This window comes from Homo sapiens, chromosome 19 (genome assembly GCF_000001405.40).
Source record: "Homo sapiens chromosome 19, GRCh38.p14 Primary Assembly".
NCBI lineage: Eukaryota > Metazoa > Chordata > Mammalia > Primates > Hominidae > Homo > Homo sapiens.
This window is the reverse complement of record NC_000019.10, coordinates 40,989,053-41,009,461: the sequence shown is the minus strand read 5'-3', so window position 1 is coordinate 41,009,461 and position 20,409 is coordinate 40,989,053. Positions and strand designations below refer to the sequence as shown.

Sequence of the window (20,409 nt, the reverse complement as noted above, 5' to 3'; positions counted from 1 at the left end):
CCTCTTCTCACCTCTCCATCTTGCCCTCCCTCCCCTCCCTTCCCTTTTTCCTCTCCCAGACCCCACTTTTTCCATGTGGAGCAGGTAGGTGTCGATGAGGTCCTTGGGGGCGCTGGGGTCCAGGGTTTCACGGTGCTTCTCCACACTGTGGCCAATGTAAGCATTGATTTCCTGCAGGTTTTTGTAAACTTGCCTGTGTGCCCCAGGAAAGTATTTCAAGAAGCCAGAGAAGAGCTCAAACAGCTGCAAGAAAGAAGGGGTGGTGAGGTTTGCCTAGGGCTGAGCTAGCAGGTCACAGGGAGAGAGCGCCTCCTGGGCCCCAATCCCTCCATGGGAACCCCACTTCCCCACTCCCCTCTGCCTCTGAACCCCTCACTCACTGACTCTATATCTCCTTTGATCTATCTCACATTTACCTCTTTCTGCATCTTCCTCCCTCATCCTTCTGTCTTTTTCTTGGCCTCTGCCCCATCTCCCTGCCTCTCTCCTTTCTATCTCTCTTAGTCTCTGTCTCACTTCCTTTCTGTGTCACCCATTGTCTACCTCAGCCTGTTTATTTGTCTTTCTCATACTTTTCTCTCCCTCTTCCCACCTCTCCTCATCTCCCTTGCTGTGTCAGATATTAATAAAATGATTCTTACACAAGATAAGCCTGCTGACATGTTAGGACTACGTATTTTGGAGGTTATTTCTATTACTTTGATGAAGAATGGAATGCCTAATTTATTGCAAATAATTGCAAAAATGCAAACATATATAGTCAGATGTAAATTTCCTTCTTAATCTCTCCTTCTAGAGATAACCATTGTTAACTGTCTGGTGGGTCTCCTTCCAGACTTTTCTCTGTGGTTCTCGGTGGGAGGAGAACATTAGAATTACTGGTCGGGCTTGTTACAAGTACTCACCTTGGGCCCCATCCCAGACTTTCCAGATCAGACCGCCCAGAAAGTAGGGTCCTGAAAATCCATAACTGTGACAACCCCACATGTGAATCCAACATACATCCCTGCTTAATAGCTGTAGCTATGTTGACCAGCCTGGCCGACATGGTGAAACACCATCTCTACTAAAAATACAAAAAAATTAGCTGGGTGTGGTGGCGCTCGCCTATAGTCCCGGCTGCTCGGGAGGCTGAGCCATGAGAATTGCTTGAACCTGGGAGGTGGAGGTGGCAGGGAGTTGAGATCACACTACTGCACTCCAGCCTGAGTAACAGAGCAAGATACTGTCTGAAAACAACAACAACAACAAACTACAGCTATGCATACTGTTCTGCAGCTTGATATTCTTAAATTTAATATGTAATAGGCATATTTCCAGGTTAATAAATAAGGAGACATTTTAGTATTTTGTTTTAAAAGAGCAGAAGACTGCCTTTACAATCTGGGGAAAGTTAAAAAAAAAAACACAGAGGGAGAAGGAGAAATGGGAGAAAATGAAGAAATGCTGTTCCTTATTGTCATTTATCCTTCATTTTCTTTAGGTGGAGAGCTTTACCAAAGACTGAGAAGCAAGGATACAGAAGAACCAGAAGCAGTCTGGGCATGGTGGCTCACACCTGTAATTCCAGCACTTTAGGAGTCTGAGGCGGGCAGATCACTTGAGGTCAGGAGTTAGAGACCAGCCTGGCCAACATGGCGAAACCCCGTCTCTACTAAAAATACAAAAACATTAGCCTGGCATAGCGGCAGGCGCCTGTAATCCCAGCTACAGGAGGCTGAGGCAGGGGAATTGCTTGAACCAGGGAGGTGGAAGTTGCAGTGAGCTGAGATTGTGCCACTGCACTCCAGCCTAGGCAACAGAGCGAGGCTCTGTCTCGAAAAGAAAAAAAAAAAAATTAGCCAGGTGTGGTGGCACATGCCTGCAGTCCCAGCTACTTGGGAGGCTGAGGCAGGAGAATCACTTGAACCCGGGAGGTGGAGGTTGCAGTAAGCCAAGATGGCAACACTACACCCCAGCTGGAATGAAACAGCGAGACTCCGTCTAAAAAAAATAAAACAGAAATGACATCCAGGAGCAGAATAGACATGAAGCCCAAAGCCTTATTCGTTCTCTCTCTCTCCCTCTCTTTCACACTCATTCTCATCAACTCTGTCTCTCAGAATCTCTTGATTTCTGCTCTTCTTTGTCTTGTTTTTGCTCATCTTCCTTCTCTCAGTCTCTCTCTGACTCTATTTCTGCCTCCCCATCACGCCTCATTCTCTCTCTCAGTGTCTCTATCCCTGTCTCACCGTCTCTCCTCCCTCCAGGTCTCCATGTCCCTGATTCTTCACATGTCTGCGTTTCTTCCAAGGATAAGCTGCATTTCTGAGCCCCCAAGACAGGTCATCCTTTTCTCGTGTGTTCTGGGTGTTCACCTCACCCCCACACCCCCTGTCCCTCTCCGTCTCCCTGACCTGGCCGAATACAGAGCTGATGAGTGAAAAAGTCTGGTAGAACAAGTTCAGCATCTTCAGGAACTCTTGATCTTGGTAGTGGAATCGTTTTCCAAAGACGATGGAGCAGATGATGTTGGCGGTAATGGACTGGAAGAGGAAGGTGGGGTCCATGAGGGCCCCTAGGAAGAAGCAGCAGGTCAAGGACACAGACTGAAGTGCCTGGGGAACATCAGGCTGTCACCTATCTCTGTGTGATTGTCTGCCATCACTCAGTAATGGTAAACATGAGAATAACCGTAACAGCTAATTATGTACCAGCACGTCACGCGTAATTCCATTGAACTCTCACTACAACAATGTGAGGCAGATGCAATTTGATTATTAGCTCCAGTTTATAGATGGGCAGACCGAGAGGCTGAGTAATTTGACCAAAGTTGCACAGCTACTCATTACTGAGGCCAGGATTTAGACCCAGGCAACACAGCTATAGAGTCCATGCAGCCGGTTCTCACTCTGCACCTCCTCTCAGGCCCCACCTCTGACTCTGGGAGTGAGTACAGTTAAATCCCAGGGATAGGGGCTGGGCAGAGTAGGTGTTCAATCAATTGCTTATATAAATTAAAAAGCCCTGGGTGGGCACAGGGGCCCATACCTCTAAACCCAGCACTTCGGGAGCCTGATTCAAAAGGATCAGGAATTCAAGACCAGCCTGGGCAACATAAGGAGACCCTGTCTCTACAAAAAAAAAAAAAAAAAAATGTAGCTAGACATGGTGGCACATGCCTGTAGTCCCAGTTGAAATAGTCCAGGGGCTGAAGTGGGAGGATCACATGGGCCCAGGAGTTTGAGGCTGCAGTGAGCTATGATCGTGCCACTGCACTCCAGCCTGGGTACAGAGTGAGACCCCGTCTCTAATTTAAAACAAATAAAAAACCATCTTTCCACCCCTACCTATTACTCCCCCTTAATCTCTTCTTTCCACATCTAGGGCTCTCCAGTCTTCTGGGAATTATTCTGTACTTGTTAAGTGATACCTGTATACACCAGGCTCAGCACTGGCCCCAGCTGGAGGGAGAGTGGTCTGTAAGGACCCAAGAACATCAGGTTAGTGCAGCCTCTCTCTGGTTCTCACTTGCCTGTCTTCTCTCATTCCTCTGCAGACCTTTTCCTAAGCTTTGTCTGTCTGTCTCTCTAATTTTCTCTGCCTCAATTTCTCTTTGCCTTTGTTTCTTTCTGTCTCTCTGTGTGTATATTTGTCTCCCCCCTGCCGTTCTTTATTTTATTATTATTATTATTATTTTTGGAGACAGAGTCTCACTCTATCATGCAGACTGGAGTGCAGTAGTGTGATCTTAGCTCACGGCAACCTCCATTTCCCAGGCTCAATCAATTCTCCTGTCTCAGCCTCCTGAGTAGCTGGGATTAAAGGCACGTGCTACCAAGCCTGGCTAATTTTTGTATTTTTAGCACAGATGGGGTTTCACCATGTTGGCCAGGCTGGTTTTGAACTGCTGGCCTCAAATGATCCGCCAGCCTCAGCCTCCCAAAGTGCTGGGATTACAGGCATGAGCCCCATACCCAACCTATATTTTTTTGTTTTGGTCCCTCCATCTGTCTCTTTCCTCCTGCCTGTGTCACTGTTTCTTCCTGTCCTTCTCTTCAGTCTTCTTGTCCCCGTTTCCCTATAGCTCCTGGGTCTCTACCTCCCCATGCAGCCTCTGCATTTACATCCCAGAGTCTCTTGAGAAATTTTGATAAGAGAGATGGTAAACACCTGGCATGAATGAGATGGAGGTGCTAGCCAGAGACCCTTCACCTACATGTCTCACAGACACCAAGTTATGGAGAACTCAAAAATAACCTAGTGATTCTTTGATGACCCCTCCAGCTGCACCCGGGCAGAACACCCCACCTGGCCTGTCTGCTCACTGCCAGCTCATCAGCACTTCACCCAGGGCAAGGAAAACACAGTTCATTATTTGTTAAATGTCTGTAGTTTTTTTCTTTTACTTAACTTCCGTTTTTGACTTTGACAGACACAATTGATCCATGAAATTATATGTCTTTGAGGGTTTGTTTGTTTGTTTGAGACAGGATCTTGCTCTGTTGTCCAGGCTGGAGTGCAGTGGTACAATCACAGCTCACTGCAACCTCAACCTCCTGGGCTCAAGTGATCCTGTAGTCCCACCTTAGCCTCCTGAGTAGCTGGGACTACAGGCACACACCACCATGCGTGGCTCACTTCTTTTCTATATTGTGTAGAGACAGGATCTCATTATGTTGCCCAGGCTGTTCTCCAACTCTTGGCCTCAAGCAATCCTCCTGCCTGAGCTTCCCAAAGTACTGGGATTACAGGTGAGAGTCATCACATCCAGCCTCTTTGAGTAACTCTTGGACATTATACACCTGGCATCTCTCTCTTTCCCTGGCTCTCTGTGTTTCTCTCCTGCCCATCCCCATCCCTCTCTATTCCCCTGTCTCTCTCCCTCTCTGTCTCTATCCCTCTGTCTGATGGTGTCTCCAGTTTCGTCTGTCTCTGTCTGTGCCCTTATATACCTCTCTGTCTTTCTATTCCCGTGCACCTGCATCTCTCAGTGTTTCATTGTCTTTCTTTCCTATTCATCCCCCAGGACTCACCCTTGGATTTCCGAAGCTCCTCTATCAGACACTGAGCCTCCTCCTGAATCCGCTCCTCCACACTCCGCTTTCCCATCCCGAAGTCCCTCATAGTGGTCACAGAGAATCGCCGAAGCACCTTCCAGCGGTTTCCATTGGCAAAGATCACACCTGGGGTGCAGGGGAGGTGTGGGTTGGTTGTAGAAGAAGTTGGAAGAAGGCTCTGAGTCCTTCTTCCTCCCATATACTCCCTTCCCTGATGCACCCCCCACCCGCCCCCTCCCAGTGCCTCTGAGGCTCTCACCATATCCCCGGAAGAATGGGTCGACCATGGCGATTTTTCCCCGGCCAGAGAAGGCCTCAGCCTTGTCCACAAGGGCCTCCCGTATGGCCTCTACTCCACACAGCATGACCACGGGCCTCGGTCCCAGGTGTACCGTGAAGACGTCCCCATATTTCTCTCGGAACTGCCAATCACATCCACACCAGGGGTGGCTGTTAGTCAGCATACACCTCATTTGTAAAACTATCAAAATACTTACATACCAGATTGGTAATTAGCCCCTCCCCAACATCCGCCTCCCCAGGCTGCCCTTTCCCCTGCTGGGACCCAGCAATTAAGGGTTAATGGTTAACGCTGTCCAAGGGAGAGAATACAGTCATGGGTTCTTAGTTTCCGTTTCTGGTTGGGCCAGTAAAGCCCCTTCCTCATCCTTCCTTTCTGTGTATCACTGGAGACAGAAACTGAAAACCATGGCTTCAGGCTGCTAAAAAGCTAAAACAAAACAAAACAGAACAACAACAAAATAAGGCAGGTTGGACAAGCTTAGGTTAATGGGTGGCCCAGCCAGGGTCTGCTCTGATTGGCTTGTGCCCTAAACAGTAAAGATGGTTGATAAAATACGATGAATATCACCCCCACCGCATACTTCTTATGATCTGTGGTTTTGCTTTTTGCAGTTTCAGTTACCTGCAGCTAATCGCAGTCTGAAAATATTAAATGGAAAATTCCAGAAATAAAGAATTCGTAAGTTTTAAGTTGTGCATCATTCTGAGTAGGATGATGATATCTCTCACCATCCACTCTGTCCCACCCCGGACACGAATCATCCTTTGTCCACCATGTCTGCACTGTGTATACCACCCTCCCTATATAATGTGATTGTATAGGAAAAAAAAAGAGTATGCATAGTGCTCAGTATTATGTGGGGTTTCAGGCATCCACTGGGGGTCTCAGAAGATATCTCCAGTGGATAAGGTGGGATTACTGTGCAGCCACTTGGGGAACTGCTGGGCAGTATTTCCTGAAGCTGAACAAATGGATACCCAGGAAACCAGCCACTTCACTCCCAGGTACATGCCCAGCAAAAATGTGTATGTGTGTTCACCAAAAAATGAACAAAATATTCACAGAAGCTTTCTTAATAAAATGCTCATCAATATAGATATAGACAATCAGTGAGGGTTCTCACAATAGACTAGTATACAGCAACAAAAAAGAACAAACCACAGCTACAGGCGACAACGTGGCTGAAACTCACAGGCATAATGTTGAGTGGAAGCAACTAGGCACAAAAGAGTCAATGCATCATAATTTTATGTGTATGAAGTTCAAACACAGGGCCAGGCGTGGTGACTCACATCTGTAATCCCAGCAATTTGGGAGGCTGAGGCAGGCTGATCACGAGGTCAGGAGTTTGAGTCCAGCCTGACCAACATGGTGAAAACCCATCTCTACTAAAAATACAAAAATTAGCCAGGCATGGTGGCTCTCACCTGTAGTCCCAGCTACTCGGGAGGCTGAGACGAGAGAATTGCTTGAGCCCGGGGAGGCGGAGGTTGCAGTGAGGCGAGATAGTGCCACTGCACTCCAGCCTGGGCGACAGAGCAAAATTCAATCTCAGGAACAAACAAACAAAAACAAAAAAGAAGTTCATACACAGATAAAATCAACCCATGATCAAGATGGTAGGTGGATAGTGAATAGAAAAGAACAGGGTGCAGGGTTTCGGGGCATTCTTGCTACTTGGCCTGCATGTCAATTACATGAGTATGTTCAGTTTGTGAAAATTCATTGAGCTGTGCGCTTTTTACAGTGATGTTCAAGTTCAATAAAAACTTGACATAAAAGTCATAAAATTTGTTAAGTTTACTTACAAATGCCCTGCATTGATCTCTGCAAAGCCCCTTCACTGGACTTCTGGATGACATGCTTACTCCACTTAACAATTGTTTCACTGCCCCACAAGCCAGGGTAACCCCACTAAAATGTAAAATAATTAATATCCACGTGCTCACCAAGGCCTACAATATTCCCACTTTGCTGAGAATAAGATCTGAAGTCTCCACTGAGGGTTCACATGGTCCTACATGACGTGGCCCTATTACCGCTCTGACTTCTCCTCCCACTCATTCCTCCATGTTGTTCTCTGACATTTTTCCTGTTTCAGGATTCTTGTAGCCACCCCTGCCTCCTTCTAGTGCCTTCCACCTGAATCTTTCATTGTCTCTGCTCAGAAAAAAAAACAAGACAGTCTTCCCCTAACCACTCAATCTAACGTAGTTCTCATCACTGTCTGAAATATCCCCCTGCTTTAGTTTAATTGTAGCTCTTCTCCACCTAACATTTCCTTATCTGTTTATTTTTTGCTTATCTGTCTCTGCCAATGGAATGTCCATAAGCGCAGTGACCTCGTATGTCTTGTCCAAGATGCCACATCATCAATTCCTAGACTATTTCCTGGTACATAGAAAGTGCCCAGTGAATTGTTATTGGATTCGTGAATAAATGAATGAGTGGATCAAGGTAGTTGCCATTTAATGAGCACTTATTATATACTAGCTGTATGCAATATCCCATTTAATCCTCACAACCACCTTAGGGGCACACATTCTCATTGTCATGATCTTAACTGACGGAAGAGAAAACTGTGACTCAATGCATACGGGTTGAATCTGAGACACGAGCCCACATCCCTCTGACATCAAAAAGAATCTGGAAGCTTATTGGGAAATGGAGAAGCAACAGCGCCACCTTCCTCAGCCCTGATGCACACTTGCTCATGCCCTCCCTCTTTACCCCACCCCCAAGAGATGCAATCATAATAGATGGTCGTGAATACCTAGAGGATCCTTGGAAGGTTTATGAAAGAGTTTTAGGGAGTGTGTGAAGCCTCACAACTTTATGCAAACATGTATGTGCCTATTTGGAAAAGAGGGGGCCACAGCTTTAATCAAACTCTATGAGAATTTCATAATCCACAAATTGTTAAGCAGCTTTAGTCTAGGAGGGCTTTGGAGACAGACCTCCTGCTGGATCTCAGCTTCCCCTTTTCCCAGTTGTGTGCCACTGGACAAATGCTTTCCCCAGGCTGAGCATCACTATCACTAATTTTGTTTGTTTGTTTGTTTCTGTTTGGGTTTTTTTTGAGATGGAGTTTCACTTTTGTTGCCCATGATGGAGTGCAATGATGCAATCTCAGCTCAGGGCAAACTCCGCCTCCTGGGTTCAAGCAATTCTCCTGCCTCAGCCTCCCGAGTAGCTGGGATTACAGACATGTGCCACCATGCCCAGCTAGTTTTGTGTTTTTTAGTACAGACAGGGTTTCTCCATGTTGGTCAGGTTGGTCTCGAACTCCCGACCTCAGTTGATCCACCTGCTTCAGCCTCCCAAAGTGCTGAGATTATAGGCATGGGCTGCCATGCCCAGCCACCATCCCTAATTCTAAGATGAGGGTAGCACCTCATCTTGTCCACAGGTAGTTGTAAATGACACCTGGAAAATCCCCATGACAACACAGATAATTCCTAGACACATTAGTCTAGTGAGAAAACTAAGTCCATTGATTCACATGATTGCGTGATACTCTTGTCACACATGGAAAATGATGAAAAGAAAACAATAGGCACTTGGGACCTTTACCTGTATGATGCAACTCTATTTGGTGAAGAGGGATCCCCAGATCTGCCACCCCCTACTGAGGGCCAGGCAGCACTTTGTAGGCCCTGGCCGACTGCCAGTTCCGCTGAGTCAGGCTTGGAGCTTTCACTCACTGACTCCTTCATTTGTTCCTGTTCACATATTTACTAAATGCCTATTGTGTACCAGGTACTATGTTCAGCACTGTGCTGATACCTCACAGGCCTTCCTTGTCTGGAAGTGTGAGGGAGAGCTCAGCCACAGGATCACAGGTAAATGCAGCACTATCAAGGACATAGGCTCAGTAAGGAGGGGCAGCTGGTGTATGAGAGCATATGATGGGGACCTGGGGGTCAGGAAGTCTTCTCAAGGGAGCTGCTGCCTGCCTGAATAGCTAAGGAACCCCAATAATGAGGAGCAGACACCGTTCTTGCACTGACATTAACCAAGATGACCCACCCACATCCTCAAATAACAATAACAACGACAAAAACAATTTGCCCCAAGTCCTCCCTGTGAGAAAATGGAAATCTTTGCTGCAATAAAGGAAGGGAGAGGGTCAAACATGTCTATGCAAAACTTATCCCAATGCTTTGGGAGGTTGAGGCAGGAGGATTGCTTGAGTCCAGGAGTTCGAGACCAGCCTAGGCAACATAGTGAGACCGTCCCCCAAACACATCTCTACAAAAATAAATAGTGGGGCATGGTGGCTCACACTTTTAGTCCCAGCTACTCTGGAGGCTAAGGTGGGAGAATCTCCTGAGCACAGGAGTTCAAGGCTGCAGTGAGCTATGACTGTGCCATTGTACTCCAGCCTGGGTAACAGACTGAGACCCTGTCTCTAAAACAATTAAAATGAAAAAAATTCTTTAATATCATTCCAGACAAGCCTCCACTTTCTATGAACTAATAAGGTAGCCACAAAGATCCTTTTGAAAACTCATTTTAGTATACAAAATCAATTCAAGATGGATTAAAGACTTAAACGTTAGACCTAAAACCATAAAAACCCTAGAAGAAAACCTAGGCATTACCATTCAGGACATAGGCATGGGCAAGGACTTCATGTCTAAAAAACCAAAACCAATGGCAACAAAAGACAAAATTGACAAATGGGATCTAATTAAACTAAAGAGCTTCTGCACAGCAAAAGAAACTACCATCAGAGTGAACAGGCAACCTACAAAATGGGAGAAAATTTTCGCAACCTACTCATCTGACAAAGGGCTAATATCCAGAATCTACAATGAACTCAAACAAATTTACAAGAAAAAAACAACCCCATCAAAAAGTGGGCGAAAGACATGAACAGACACTTTTCAAAAGAAGACATTTATGCAGCCAAAAAACACATGAAAAAATGCTCAACATCAATGGCCATCAGAGAAATGCAAATCAAAACCACAATGAGATACCATCTCACACCAGTTAGAATGGCAATCATTAAAAAGTCAGGAAACAACAGGTGCTGGAGAAGATGTGGAGAAATAGGAACACTTTTACACTGTTGGTGGGACTGTAAACTAGTTCAACCATTGTGGAAGTCAGTGTGGCGATTCCTCAGGGATCTAGAACTAGAAATACCATTTGACCCAGCCATCCCATTACTGGGTATATACCCAAAGGACTATAAATCATGCTGCTATAAAGACACATGCACATGTATGTTTATTGCGGCATTATTCACAATAGCAAAGACTTGGAACCAACCCAAATGTCCAACAATGATAGACTGGATTAAGAAAATGTGGCACATATACACCATGGAATACTATGCAGCCATAAAAAATGATGAGTTCATGTCCTTTGTAGGGACATGGATGAAATTGGAAATCATCATTCTCAGTAAACTATCGCAAGAACAAAAAAACCAAACACCACATATTCTCACTCATAGGTGGGAATTGAACAATGAGATCACATGGACACAGGAAGGGAAACATCACACTCTGGGGACTGTTGTGGGGTGGGGGGAGGGGGGAGGGATAGCATTGGGAGATATACCTAATGCTAGATGACGAGTTAGTGGGTGCAGCGCACCAGCATGGCACATGTATACGTATGTAACTAACCTGCACAATGTGCACATGTACCCTAAAACTTAAAGTATAATAATAATAAAAAAGAAAGAAAGAAAACTCATTTTAGGCAAATACAAATTTCATTGACAGTTTTGCTTGTTTCCAAATTTGTAAAGGATTGGGATATTCAATGACCATACCAGCTTTCATAAAGAAAGCGGGCAGTGGGATACCAAGAGCTAGAAGGAACAGCAAATTCTGTTAACAGAGGCATGATTTGTGCCCAGATAGCGTCTGCAGAGCTTGGGAAAAAACCCTTAGAGAGAAGGTTCAGCGAATTGTGTAGGATGTCTTTGACCAGCATTTAAACCTATACACACGTTCCTAAATGTTATCACTCCTCACATTGCAGATGATTTTTTTTTAAGAGACAGGGTCTTGCTCTGTGCCCAGGCTGGAGGGCAGTGACGTGATCATAGCTCACTGCAGCCTCAAACTACAAGGCTCAAGTCATCCTCCTGCCTCAGTCTCCCAAGTAGCTGGGACTACAGGCACATGCCACCATGCCTGGCTAAATTTTTAAAACTTTTTTGTAGAGCCAGGTCTTGTTTGGTTGCCCAGGCTGGTTTCTAACTCCTGGCTTCAAGCGATCCTCCCACCTCAGCCTCCCAAAGTGTTGGGATTACAGGTATAAGCCACCACCTCTTTGAGTGTTGCCCAGTGGTGTCGTGAGCCACCCAAACAACATCTTATCTAATCATAAGACTCCTTGGCTCCCTCCATGTCATTCCCCTGAAAAATCTAAATGTTTCATAATTTGAGAGTCTGTGACCAATTACCTTGTATCTTCCAGGTAAAGTGACAGTGTCTAACTGATAACCAAAGACCACATGTTTTGACTAAGTGTCTAAGATAAATATATATGTATGACAATTATCACATTCATCATTTGTATGTCCATGTATTCTGTCTGAGCAAATAATTTAAAAATTCATAGTAGTATTGGCATATATACTCTGTACTTGGTATCATTAAAAAGACCATTGATCAGAAATTAAAAAAATAACTCTATTAATAGTAAAAGGATAACGAGCCTAAGATTCAGGAGTATGGTCAACATGGGAGGGGGAAGGGGAAGAGGAGCTGGAAGGTATTGTCAGTGTTCTAATTCTCCCATTGGAAAGTGGGTTGATGGATTAGTAATGATAAGTAGATAATTAATCATAAAATCAGGCATGGTAAGCAGTGATAACCCAGGTAAATACTGAGCCAGTGGCAGTTACCGGTATAGGGCACTATGTGTACTGTTGATGAGCACTCCCTACCCACACTCCTCTCCTGCTCTCCCTCTCTCCTCCACTCTCCTGGCACTGACATGGGCTAGTCTGCTCTCTCTCATTGGCACAGCAAGATCTATTTGATTCGTGCCACCACCTCTTTTACCTCATTCTTTCAGTGGCAGGCAGGTACCCAGGATGTAACAGAGGATGGCAGAGAAGAGTGAAATTCTATACCTGTGGCTCATACCCAGACACCTCTTCATGCCCATTCACCCCTCCAAGGACAGTGCCCCCGTGCAGTTCCAATTCAGAGACAGGGTCTCAATCTGTTACCCAGGCTGGAGTGCAATGGCACCATCAAATTACCTATGATAACCTATTTAATAAACCAGTGTTATGTACCTGAATTAGAGAAGCATAAATTGCAACTCATTGTATTAAAATTTGTACTTTAGAGTCTGTAATTCCAATGTGAAGCATGCACTCATGGAGACCCTAGATGGCCGCCTGGTCCTTCCTGAGTTCTTAAAATTTCCATTACTAAAAGCTCCGTATTCCATGACTCATCATAGAAGAGAGAAAATGATCCAAACAGTGAAAAAATATTGATGAGGTGACTATTCTAAGATTACTAAATGGTTTATAACTAATATTTGGTTTATCAAATCCATAATTCTAGTAAGACAACAAAAACCTCAGGTGATATATTTCTGGCACTTGGTAGATCATTTGAACACTTGAAGCTGGAGTTAATTCAACTGCCAGCTTCATTGCATGTTTTCTGGTTGTATTAAAGCATTTCTATGCACAAAGATCAATCAATGCCATAACCGTAGATAAAAGGTTATTAGAAAATGTATTTCCTTACTGGGCATTCCTGGAGAACTCTCCAGTGACAGAGGTACTTGTTTCACTAGACAAGTGGTAAAACAGTTAAATAAGGTATTGAAGAAGGAATTAATGAAATCAACTATAACCTAATAGTAGTAGTAATATAAATTTTAAAATCCTCTTAAGGTTGCTGCAAAGTATGACCACACCTTACATTCAAGTTAAAAGAGAATATTAACAGCCTGTCTTCTCTCTGTGGACAGTGGACCTTACCTATACTCCCCAACTCCACATCCCTCAAAGTTTATTACAGGCCCAGTGAGTTCCTGCACAGCTGCAGGGTCACCGGACCGATAAGGTTAGGTTGCAAGACATGTCTTTCTCAAGATGTAAGAAATGTTATTTAACTGCTTTGTTTCTCACTTCTGAAACTGGCTTCCTGCCTCATGTAGTTCCCACCTTAATATGTTTAAAAGTAGGAAAAGCCTTTGTTCGGGGCTCAGACTTTCTGGATGTATGTCTGGCTGAACCGGTGATCACCTTAATTTAATAAACTCTCCTGAACCTTTTTTGGTCTCTCCAGTCTTTGATTGTCCCGCAACAGTATTACAAACAAATATCATTAGGCAAAGCATGCTGAATTGATTGGAGTCCCTTGGTCTCAGGTATTATTGATTGATGGCAATCAGATCCACTCCTACTGGAAAGACATAGATAGATCTCTTGTAAAATAGTAATAGAGGGCCTATGCCCCTAATAATAGAATCTCATGTATCTCCCACTCTTATAAACTCTGATATGACTCAATAATGCAAGGCTATAATACTTTATGCCAAAGCATGTTTTCACCAGGTAAAATGAGTCATTGATGACACATCGGTTGATGACAACCAGACCTTTCATGATCTAGAATTTAGAGGTTGGGCCCTTTGGAAATGACACCAGACAAACTGTCCTTGAACTCCATTGGAAGAGACCGTACCAAGTTCTTCTAAGACTGTTCCTTGTACTCCATTGGGAAGGACAATGCCAAGTTCTTCTCTGTAGCAAAATGTCAGGGTCTCGGATCTTGGATCCACATCTCTCCATTGGAAAGGACCCTTCTAGACTCCTAGAACTGTATGTCTGTTGGAGACCTTAAGGCAAAGCTGACCAGGGAAGTTTTTCCCCAGAAGCAGTTGGCATCTTATATGCGGACAGCTTTTCCAAGATTGTGGATCAAGATTTCTCTTCCATCATGAAAGCATTATCTTTTATCCTTTCTTCCCCATTTCTTGCTGTCCTAACCCTTTCCCTTTCCTTACAAGAAAATCCATAGGACTATAATCTGTGAATGGCTTTAGCAAAGGCTTATACTCTAGCAAAACAAGCAAACAAACAAAAAAAACAAGGAGTTGTTGAGTTTCTGAACCAACGCCCCAAAATCAGGAAATAATTTCACTGGTGCCAATGCCTCTTCATGTTCCCAATGAGAATCACCCAGAAACCCCAAAGGAGGAGTGGAAAGCTATATCTTGATATTCTAGACATCATTGCCACTTGCTTTTTTGCACTCACTGGAAATATTTAGTAGTGATTATGTTATTAGTTAGTTAATATAATAACAGTACGTAATAACATACTATTAACTAGCTAATAACATAATCACTACTAAATATAGGAAATGTATCTGAATAATGGCTGCAAAAGGCATATTTTGCTTCCAGGCATCCCGTATGCAAGACCTGGGGACTACCTATGGGGGTGTGGGCAATTGCGTGTGTAATGTTACTGGATTAAATATGTAAAGTGGCCAGGCATGGTGGCTCATGCTTGTAATCCCAGCACTTTGGGAGATTGAGATGGGAGGATTGCTTGAGGCCAAGAGTTCAACATAGCACGACCCCAACTCTATTAAAAACAAATAAATAAGTAAATACAGTAAAGTCTCTTTCCAACTAAATGTGGTTATGCACCTTCGCAGCATGCTAGAAAAAGACCACAAAAAAGTAAGTTTCCCACCTTGTTCAGGAGCTATGCAGACTTATGGGTAAACAAATCTAACTGATCTCTGCTCTAATGCCAGTAGGTGACCCTCTTTTCCAACACCACGAGTGCCTACCTTGAGTATCTTGAGGTTTGCTTACTCTGTTCTTTCTCCTCACAGGTCCAGAACTTGCTATTTGGCCTAGCTCACTGCTGCTTTCCAAATTGTTTCCCTGAGAGTTTCCTAATACCTCCCATAGTTAAAAGCCAAAACAGTCAATAACTGAAATTACTATCAACCTCAAAATCGACGAAGATAAGTTGGTTTCTGTTCAGAAAAGGTTCCAGTTGGGTTCCTGGGTGCTCATTCTTGGTGGTATTTGGGTGACAGTTGTATGGAATCTGAGGCTAAGTTATACATTAAGGGACATCTTGAATTTTGCAGCTAATTGAACCTCCAAGGAGTTCAGATGGGTAGAAGCCACTCTCCAAACTGAGATGAGAACATTTGTGGCAACAAAAACGCTTAATGGAACATCACGCAATTTTAGATCTCCTCTATGCCCATCTTGGAGGCTTGTGTATGGTGCTGAAGAAAACCAAATATTGCTCTTATCTTTCCAGTGAATTCACTAGTGCAGATAACTTAATTTAAAATGCGGCTGACACTGCTGTTTCTCTAGACACTGCCACAAATACACTAAGGACATTTCTCAGGGGAAAGAAACAGATATGTGTTTACAGGTGCAGCTAGCAGTTGGTTTGCAAGCATCCTGAATGGTGATGGTAAGTGATATGGTTTGGCTCTGTGTCCTCACCCAAATCTCATCTTGAATTGTAATCCCCAGGTGTGGAGGGAAGGACCTAGTAGGAGGTAACTGGATCCTGGGGGCGGTTTCCCCCATGCTGTTCTTGTGATAGTGAGTGAGTTCTCACAAGATCTGATGGTTTTATAAGAGGCTCTTCCCCCTTGGCTCTCTCTCTTTTTCCTGCCACCTTGTGAAGAAGGTACTTGCTTCTCCTTCACCTTCCATCATGATTGTAAGTTTCCTGCTTCTCATTCACCTTTTGCCATGAATTGTATTTTCCTGGGGCCTCCCCAGCCATGTGGAACTGTGAGTCAGTTACATCCCTTTTGTTTATAAATTACCCAGTCTCAGGTATGTCTTTATAACAGTGTGAGAATGGACTAACACAGCAAGCCTGGCTATCCCAAACTTTTCTACTCTTAATGTTTCTTCTAGTGGGTCTCCAGGATACTATATGTTACCAGGCCAACTACAAATGAATGTCTCTATAAATCAAGTTATTTTATAGCAAGCTCTGGTCCTTAATTACCATCATGCCCTGAACAAAATCTATGACCAATTGGACTCTAATACTATTGAACTATCTTTATTGTCTGAACTTCGAATTATTCGATTTTGATCAGTTTGGTTCATGGACACACTCAAGTTAAAAGAGACTATTAACAGCCTTTCTTCTCTCTGTGGACAGTGGACCTTATCTATACCCCCAAGTCCACATTCCTCAAAGTTTATTACAGGCCCAGTGACTTCATTTTCTTCGTATTACCCTCCTGAGAGCCATCATAACAGTCTCCCTGATGTGTTGTATTTTCTCAAGAGTCTTGGCCGGGTGCGGTGGCTCACACATGTAATCCTAGCACTTTGGGAGGCCGAGGCAGGTGGATTGCTTGAGCCCAGGAGTTTAAGACCAGTCTGGGCAACATGGCAAAACCCTGTCTCTACAAAAAATACAAAAATTAGCTGGGCGTGGTGGCATGCACCTGTAGTTCCAGCTACTTGGGGGGCTGAGGCAGGAGGATCACTTGAGCCTTGGGAGGTCAAGGCTGCAGTGAGACGTGATCATGCCACAGCACTTCAGCCTGGCTGACAGAGTGAGGCCCTGTCTCAGAAAAAAAAAGAGTCTTAAATGCTCATATGCAGCCATTCTTTGTACATCCAGTGGGCTCATTACAGTGGGAACAACAAAAACATGAAGAAAAGGTAAAGAATCACTCAACTACGTTGACATTGTCCATTGTGAATTCCATACTGAGAGCAGACAAGTCCATTATGATGGTGACAGAAGTAATGTTGATGCCCAAGGTTTTGGTCAATCTCAAAATTTTGAGGCTGACCAAAAGGGGAGAATTGTTTAATTAAATTAAATTTGACCTAAAGCTCTCTCTGTAGAGTGAACTGCAACCTAACTTGGGAGTATATTCTTTTTTTTTTTTTTTTTTTTGAGAAGGAGTCTCACTCTGTCACCCAGGATGGAGTGCAGTGGTAAGATTTTGGCTCACTGCAACCTCTGCCTCCTGGATTCAAGTGATTCTCCTTCCTCAGCCTCCTGGGTAGCTGAGATTACAGGCACGCATCACTATGCCCAGCTAATATTTGTATTTTTAGTAGAGACAAGGTTTCACCATGTTGGCCAGGCTGGTCTCGAACTCCTGACCTCAGGTGATCCACCACCTCGGCCTCCAAAAGCACTGGGATTACAGGCATGAGCCACTGCACCTGGCCCAAATGAATATATTCTTGTGACAAGTAGCCAAGTGTTGGCTAATCAGAGCAGCTGGGCTTTCAGTCCACACAGGCTGCAAACTGCTCAGATTGTGACCAAGTAAGGCAAGCTGTGATCTGTGGCCAATCAGGCTGTTTCTGTATGTCACCTCCTTTTTCTGCCTGTAAATACCACTTGACCATACTGCCGTGTGGTGTCTTTCCTGGTTTAGGGAGCTGTCCAACTCATGAGTCACTTCTTTGCTCAAATAAACTCTGCTAAATTTAATTTGATGCTTTTCTCCTAATAATACCACCCATCATGCTTCACCATGCTCCGTACTCACCAACCATGCCCGTGCCACCCCTGACTCTGGAAGTCTGCCTCATTCTGTTTGGTGAAGCTTCCCCAAGTACCAAGGCAAGAAGCAGCTCACCCTCAGACCCCATTCGTCTGTGTCTTACCCTCAGAAAGGATTTGAGTAGGCCTCTTCTATCCATCTGCAGAAGGTTTCCCAAAAGGGGCAGAGGGCGGGGCCCTGGTGGGAGGCGGTCATGGGTGTTAGGGTGGCGCTGAACCAGGAGTAGCAAGAGTCCTGTGAGGAGTGCAAGGAAGAGGAGGACGCTGAGTTCCATGGTCCTGGTCTGACTGCCCTGCACCCTGCTGCAGCCTCCAACTGGGCCTTTTATCCTGACCCTGCCTCTGCACCCTGTTATAAAATTTCATCCATTCCCCACCTCCTTTTTCATCATCATCCAGGAGCATTAGCTTAGAAAAAGTTGTTAGGGAACCCAGACTTCCTGCTTGGGCAACCCAGTGACCTGATGCCTATCCCTTTACCCACTCTGTAGATATTGGCAGGGATACAGTGGTAGAGATATCAAAGTCCAGGTGAGCAAGTGAATGTGTGGGTGTGTGGGTTTGTGGGTATATGTATGTCTATTTTTGTAAGCATAGGTGAGCTTGCACTTTTTTACTTAGCTTTGTCTGTTTGTCTGTGCTTGCATGCATTTGTCCATGCCTGCTTGCATCCCTGTATGTGCTTATATGATTTTTACATGTAAAGGGGTGTTTGAATTTATGCAAATGTACTGGCGTATATTTCTGTGGTTGAATCTGGGGGTGCTTATGTGTGTATCCTTGCATGTGTATGAGCTTCCTTGTATTTATACAGTTTTATATACGAAAGTGCATTTACATTTGTGTGTTGTGGAGGTGGTGGTAGTGCATGTTCAAAACTGAGAGGCTGGCTGGGTGCGGTGGCTCACACCTGTAATCCCAGCACGTTGGGAAGCTGAGGGGGGCAGATCAATTGAGGTCAAGAGTTCGAGACCATCCTGGCCCACATGGCAAAACCCCATCTGTACTAAAAACACAAAAATTAACCGGGCGTGATGGTGGGTACTTTTAATCCCAGCTACTCGGGAGGCTGAGGCAAGAGAATCACTTGAACCTGGGAGGTGGAGGCTGCAGTGAGCCAAGATTACACCACTGCACTCCAGCCTGGGTGACACAGCAATACTCCATCTCAAAAAAAAAAAAAAAAAAAAAAAAAGGAGAAGCTGATGAAAATAAGGAATTATTCAATTCAATCAAATTTGGCCTACTGCCTTTGTAGCATAGCAAACTGTAACCTAGCAATACATGAACCAATTGTGTGTATCTGTGTGTGCTGGTGTATTTGTGCTGGTGTGTTGGTGGATCTCCTAGCCCCTCTCTTTGGAAGCCTGCAGATGCTGAGTCTATCTCCAGTGTCCCCTCCTTCATCCGCCCTTCTGTGACAGCCACAGGTGGAAGTGGTCGGAGAAACAGAAGGAGGAGCAAGAGATGCAGAACTGGTGAGTCTCAGAGGAAGAGGTGGTCAGTTGGAAGGAGACAGAAACTGAGACCTGGCAGGTACAGCGATCAGGTCCTCTTGGTTTCTGATCACTCTAACTAGTGCTAAGGAGTTTCTTCCCTGCCTCTGACTATCTTCACGGTGCAGGAAATTTCTCTGGCTCTCTCTCTGTCTGACTTTGTGTCTCTGTTTTCCCCCTGGAGACTCTTGAGCTCCAGGTGTGTGCAAACTGAGTCCAGTTTGATTGATGTCTACTGGACTCCCATATGTCTCTATCCTCACTGTGCACCTTCACCCACACATCCTCTGACAGGGTCAGTCCATCTTTGCAAAACGTGGGTGTGAATGTGTGCGTGTCTGCCTGTCTCATCCTACGCCTGACTTTTGACCATGAGGCAACATCTTTCTTGCAATGTTAAGCAAACCCTTTGCTGGATCCAGGACCTGAACCCGAAGTTACTTTGACCCAGGAGGAGCAGACAAACAGTCCTATTTGTAAGAGGTGGAAACTGTACTTTCCTGACCCTGAAGAGGTGGCAGCATGGACTTTCCTGAACCAAGGGCCTCGGTCTTGCTGTGCTGTGTCATCTGACACTAAGATTGGGTGCTCATTGCAGCCCCAGGGTGAAGCACCGATGGGGAGGCGTGAAGTGCTTTACACACAGTAACTCAGTCTTTACACTCTTAGTGAGGTATTGTTGCCATCCCCATTTTATAGATGGAGATATTGAAGCAATGACAGTTTGCAAGTCTTACCCAAGGTCATACAGTGGGTTGGGGCTACATTGTCCAATGTGATAGTCACTTGCTGCATGTGGCCACTAATTAAGTACTTGAAATGTGGTCCAAATGCTATTTACAATAGCAAAAATAGGGAATCAACAGATGAATGGTTAAATAAAATGTGGTATATATACACCATTGAATACTATTTAGCCATAAAAAGGAATAAAATAATGTCTTTTATAGCAACATGGATACAACTGGAGGGGATTATCTTAAGTGAAACAAGCCAGGCACAGAAAGTGAATATCACATGTTCTCATTCATA

General features: G+C 44.6%; 1 protein-coding gene across 1 annotated transcript in view, besides 21 other annotated features; it reads right to left on the bottom strand.

Annotated features, from left to right (window-relative positions):
* The window catches only part of CYP2B6 (cytochrome P450 family 2 subfamily B member 6), a 27,117-nt gene extending 8,937 nt beyond the window's left edge, over positions 1-18,180 (bottom strand). Inside the window, exons 1-5 of the mRNA NM_000767.5 lie at positions 17,986-18,180; positions 5,299-5,461; positions 5,016-5,165; positions 2,397-2,557; positions 67-243 (exon numbers count right to left, since the gene is read on the bottom strand). Of these exons, the coding sequence (NP_000758.1) occupies positions 67-243; positions 2,397-2,557; positions 5,016-5,165; positions 5,299-5,461; positions 17,986-18,156 (822 nt within the window). The 5' untranslated portion in view covers positions 18,157-18,180. The remainder of the gene's footprint in view (positions 1-66; positions 244-2,396; positions 2,558-5,015; positions 5,166-5,298; positions 5,462-17,985) is intronic.
* Positions 18,141-20,409: a promoter, noted in NCBI's record as "-2253/+16 promoter". NCBI's record gives the evidence for it as "EXISTENCE:reporter gene assay evidence [ECO:0000049][PMID:15722458]".
* Positions 18,175-19,840: a promoter, noted in NCBI's record as "1.6 kb promoter". NCBI's record gives the evidence for it as "EXISTENCE:reporter gene assay evidence [ECO:0000049][PMID:12571232]".
* Positions 18,226-18,250: a protein binding site, noted in NCBI's record as "-94 to -70 TATA box". NCBI's record gives the evidence for it as "EXISTENCE:protein binding evidence [ECO:0000024][PMID:15722458]".
* Positions 18,226-18,250: a protein binding site, noted in NCBI's record as "-94 to -70; Cebp binding site found on minor C allele of rs34223104". NCBI's record gives the evidence for it as "EXISTENCE:protein binding evidence [ECO:0000024][PMID:15722458]".
* Positions 18,234-18,238: a TATA box. NCBI's record gives the evidence for it as "COORDINATES:motif similarity evidence [ECO:0000028][PMID:15722458]".
* Positions 18,399-18,411: a protein binding site, noted in NCBI's record as "DR1". NCBI's record gives the evidence for it as "EXISTENCE:protein binding evidence [ECO:0000024][PMID:18303024]".
* Positions 18,415-18,438: a transcriptional cis regulatory region, noted in NCBI's record as "OARE". NCBI's record gives its function as "mediates induction by okadaic acid" and the evidence as "EXISTENCE:site-directed mutagenesis evidence [ECO:0005528][PMID:15563456]".
* Positions 18,424-18,435: a protein binding site, noted in NCBI's record as "CA1; CACCC probe". NCBI's record gives its function as "positive regulation of promoter activity" and the evidence as "EXISTENCE:protein binding evidence [ECO:0000024][PMID:18303024]".
* Positions 19,651-19,660: a protein binding site, noted in NCBI's record as "CA2". NCBI's record gives the evidence for it as "EXISTENCE:protein binding evidence [ECO:0000024][PMID:19467232]".
* Positions 19,694-19,710: a protein binding site, noted in NCBI's record as "CA3". NCBI's record gives the evidence for it as "EXISTENCE:protein binding evidence [ECO:0000024][PMID:19467232]".
* Positions 19,813-19,825: a transcriptional cis regulatory region, noted in NCBI's record as "A2 ERE". NCBI's record gives its function as "may mediate induction by estrogen" and the evidence as "EXISTENCE:site-directed mutagenesis evidence [ECO:0005528][PMID:20079471]".
* Positions 19,867-19,886: an enhancer, noted in NCBI's record as "NR1". NCBI's record gives the evidence for it as "EXISTENCE:reporter gene assay evidence [ECO:0000049][PMID:10037683]".
* Positions 19,867-19,886: a protein binding site, noted in NCBI's record as "NR1, also known as DR4". NCBI's record gives the evidence for it as "EXISTENCE:protein binding evidence [ECO:0000024][PMID:11502872]".
* Positions 19,867-19,886: a protein binding site, noted in NCBI's record as "NR1, also known as DR4". NCBI's record gives the evidence for it as "EXISTENCE:protein binding evidence [ECO:0000024][PMID:11502872]".
* Positions 19,867-19,886: a protein binding site, noted in NCBI's record as "NR1". NCBI's record gives the evidence for it as "EXISTENCE:protein binding evidence [ECO:0000024][PMID:11991950]".
* Positions 19,869-19,916: an enhancer, noted in NCBI's record as "PBREM". NCBI's record gives the evidence for it as "EXISTENCE:reporter gene assay evidence [ECO:0000049][PMID:10037683]".
* Positions 19,899-19,918: a protein binding site, noted in NCBI's record as "NR2". NCBI's record gives its function as "positive regulation of promoter activity" and the evidence as "EXISTENCE:protein binding evidence [ECO:0000024][PMID:10037683, PMID:11502872]".
* Positions 19,899-19,918: a protein binding site, noted in NCBI's record as "NR2". NCBI's record gives the evidence for it as "EXISTENCE:protein binding evidence [ECO:0000024][PMID:11502872]".
* Positions 19,929-19,953: a protein binding site, noted in NCBI's record as "ARE". NCBI's record gives the evidence for it as "EXISTENCE:protein binding evidence [ECO:0000024][PMID:19833192]".
* Positions 19,931-19,953: a protein binding site, noted in NCBI's record as "A1 ERE". NCBI's record gives the evidence for it as "EXISTENCE:protein binding evidence [ECO:0000024][PMID:22484313]".
* Positions 19,931-19,953: a protein binding site, noted in NCBI's record as "A1". NCBI's record gives the evidence for it as "EXISTENCE:protein binding evidence [ECO:0000024][PMID:22484313]".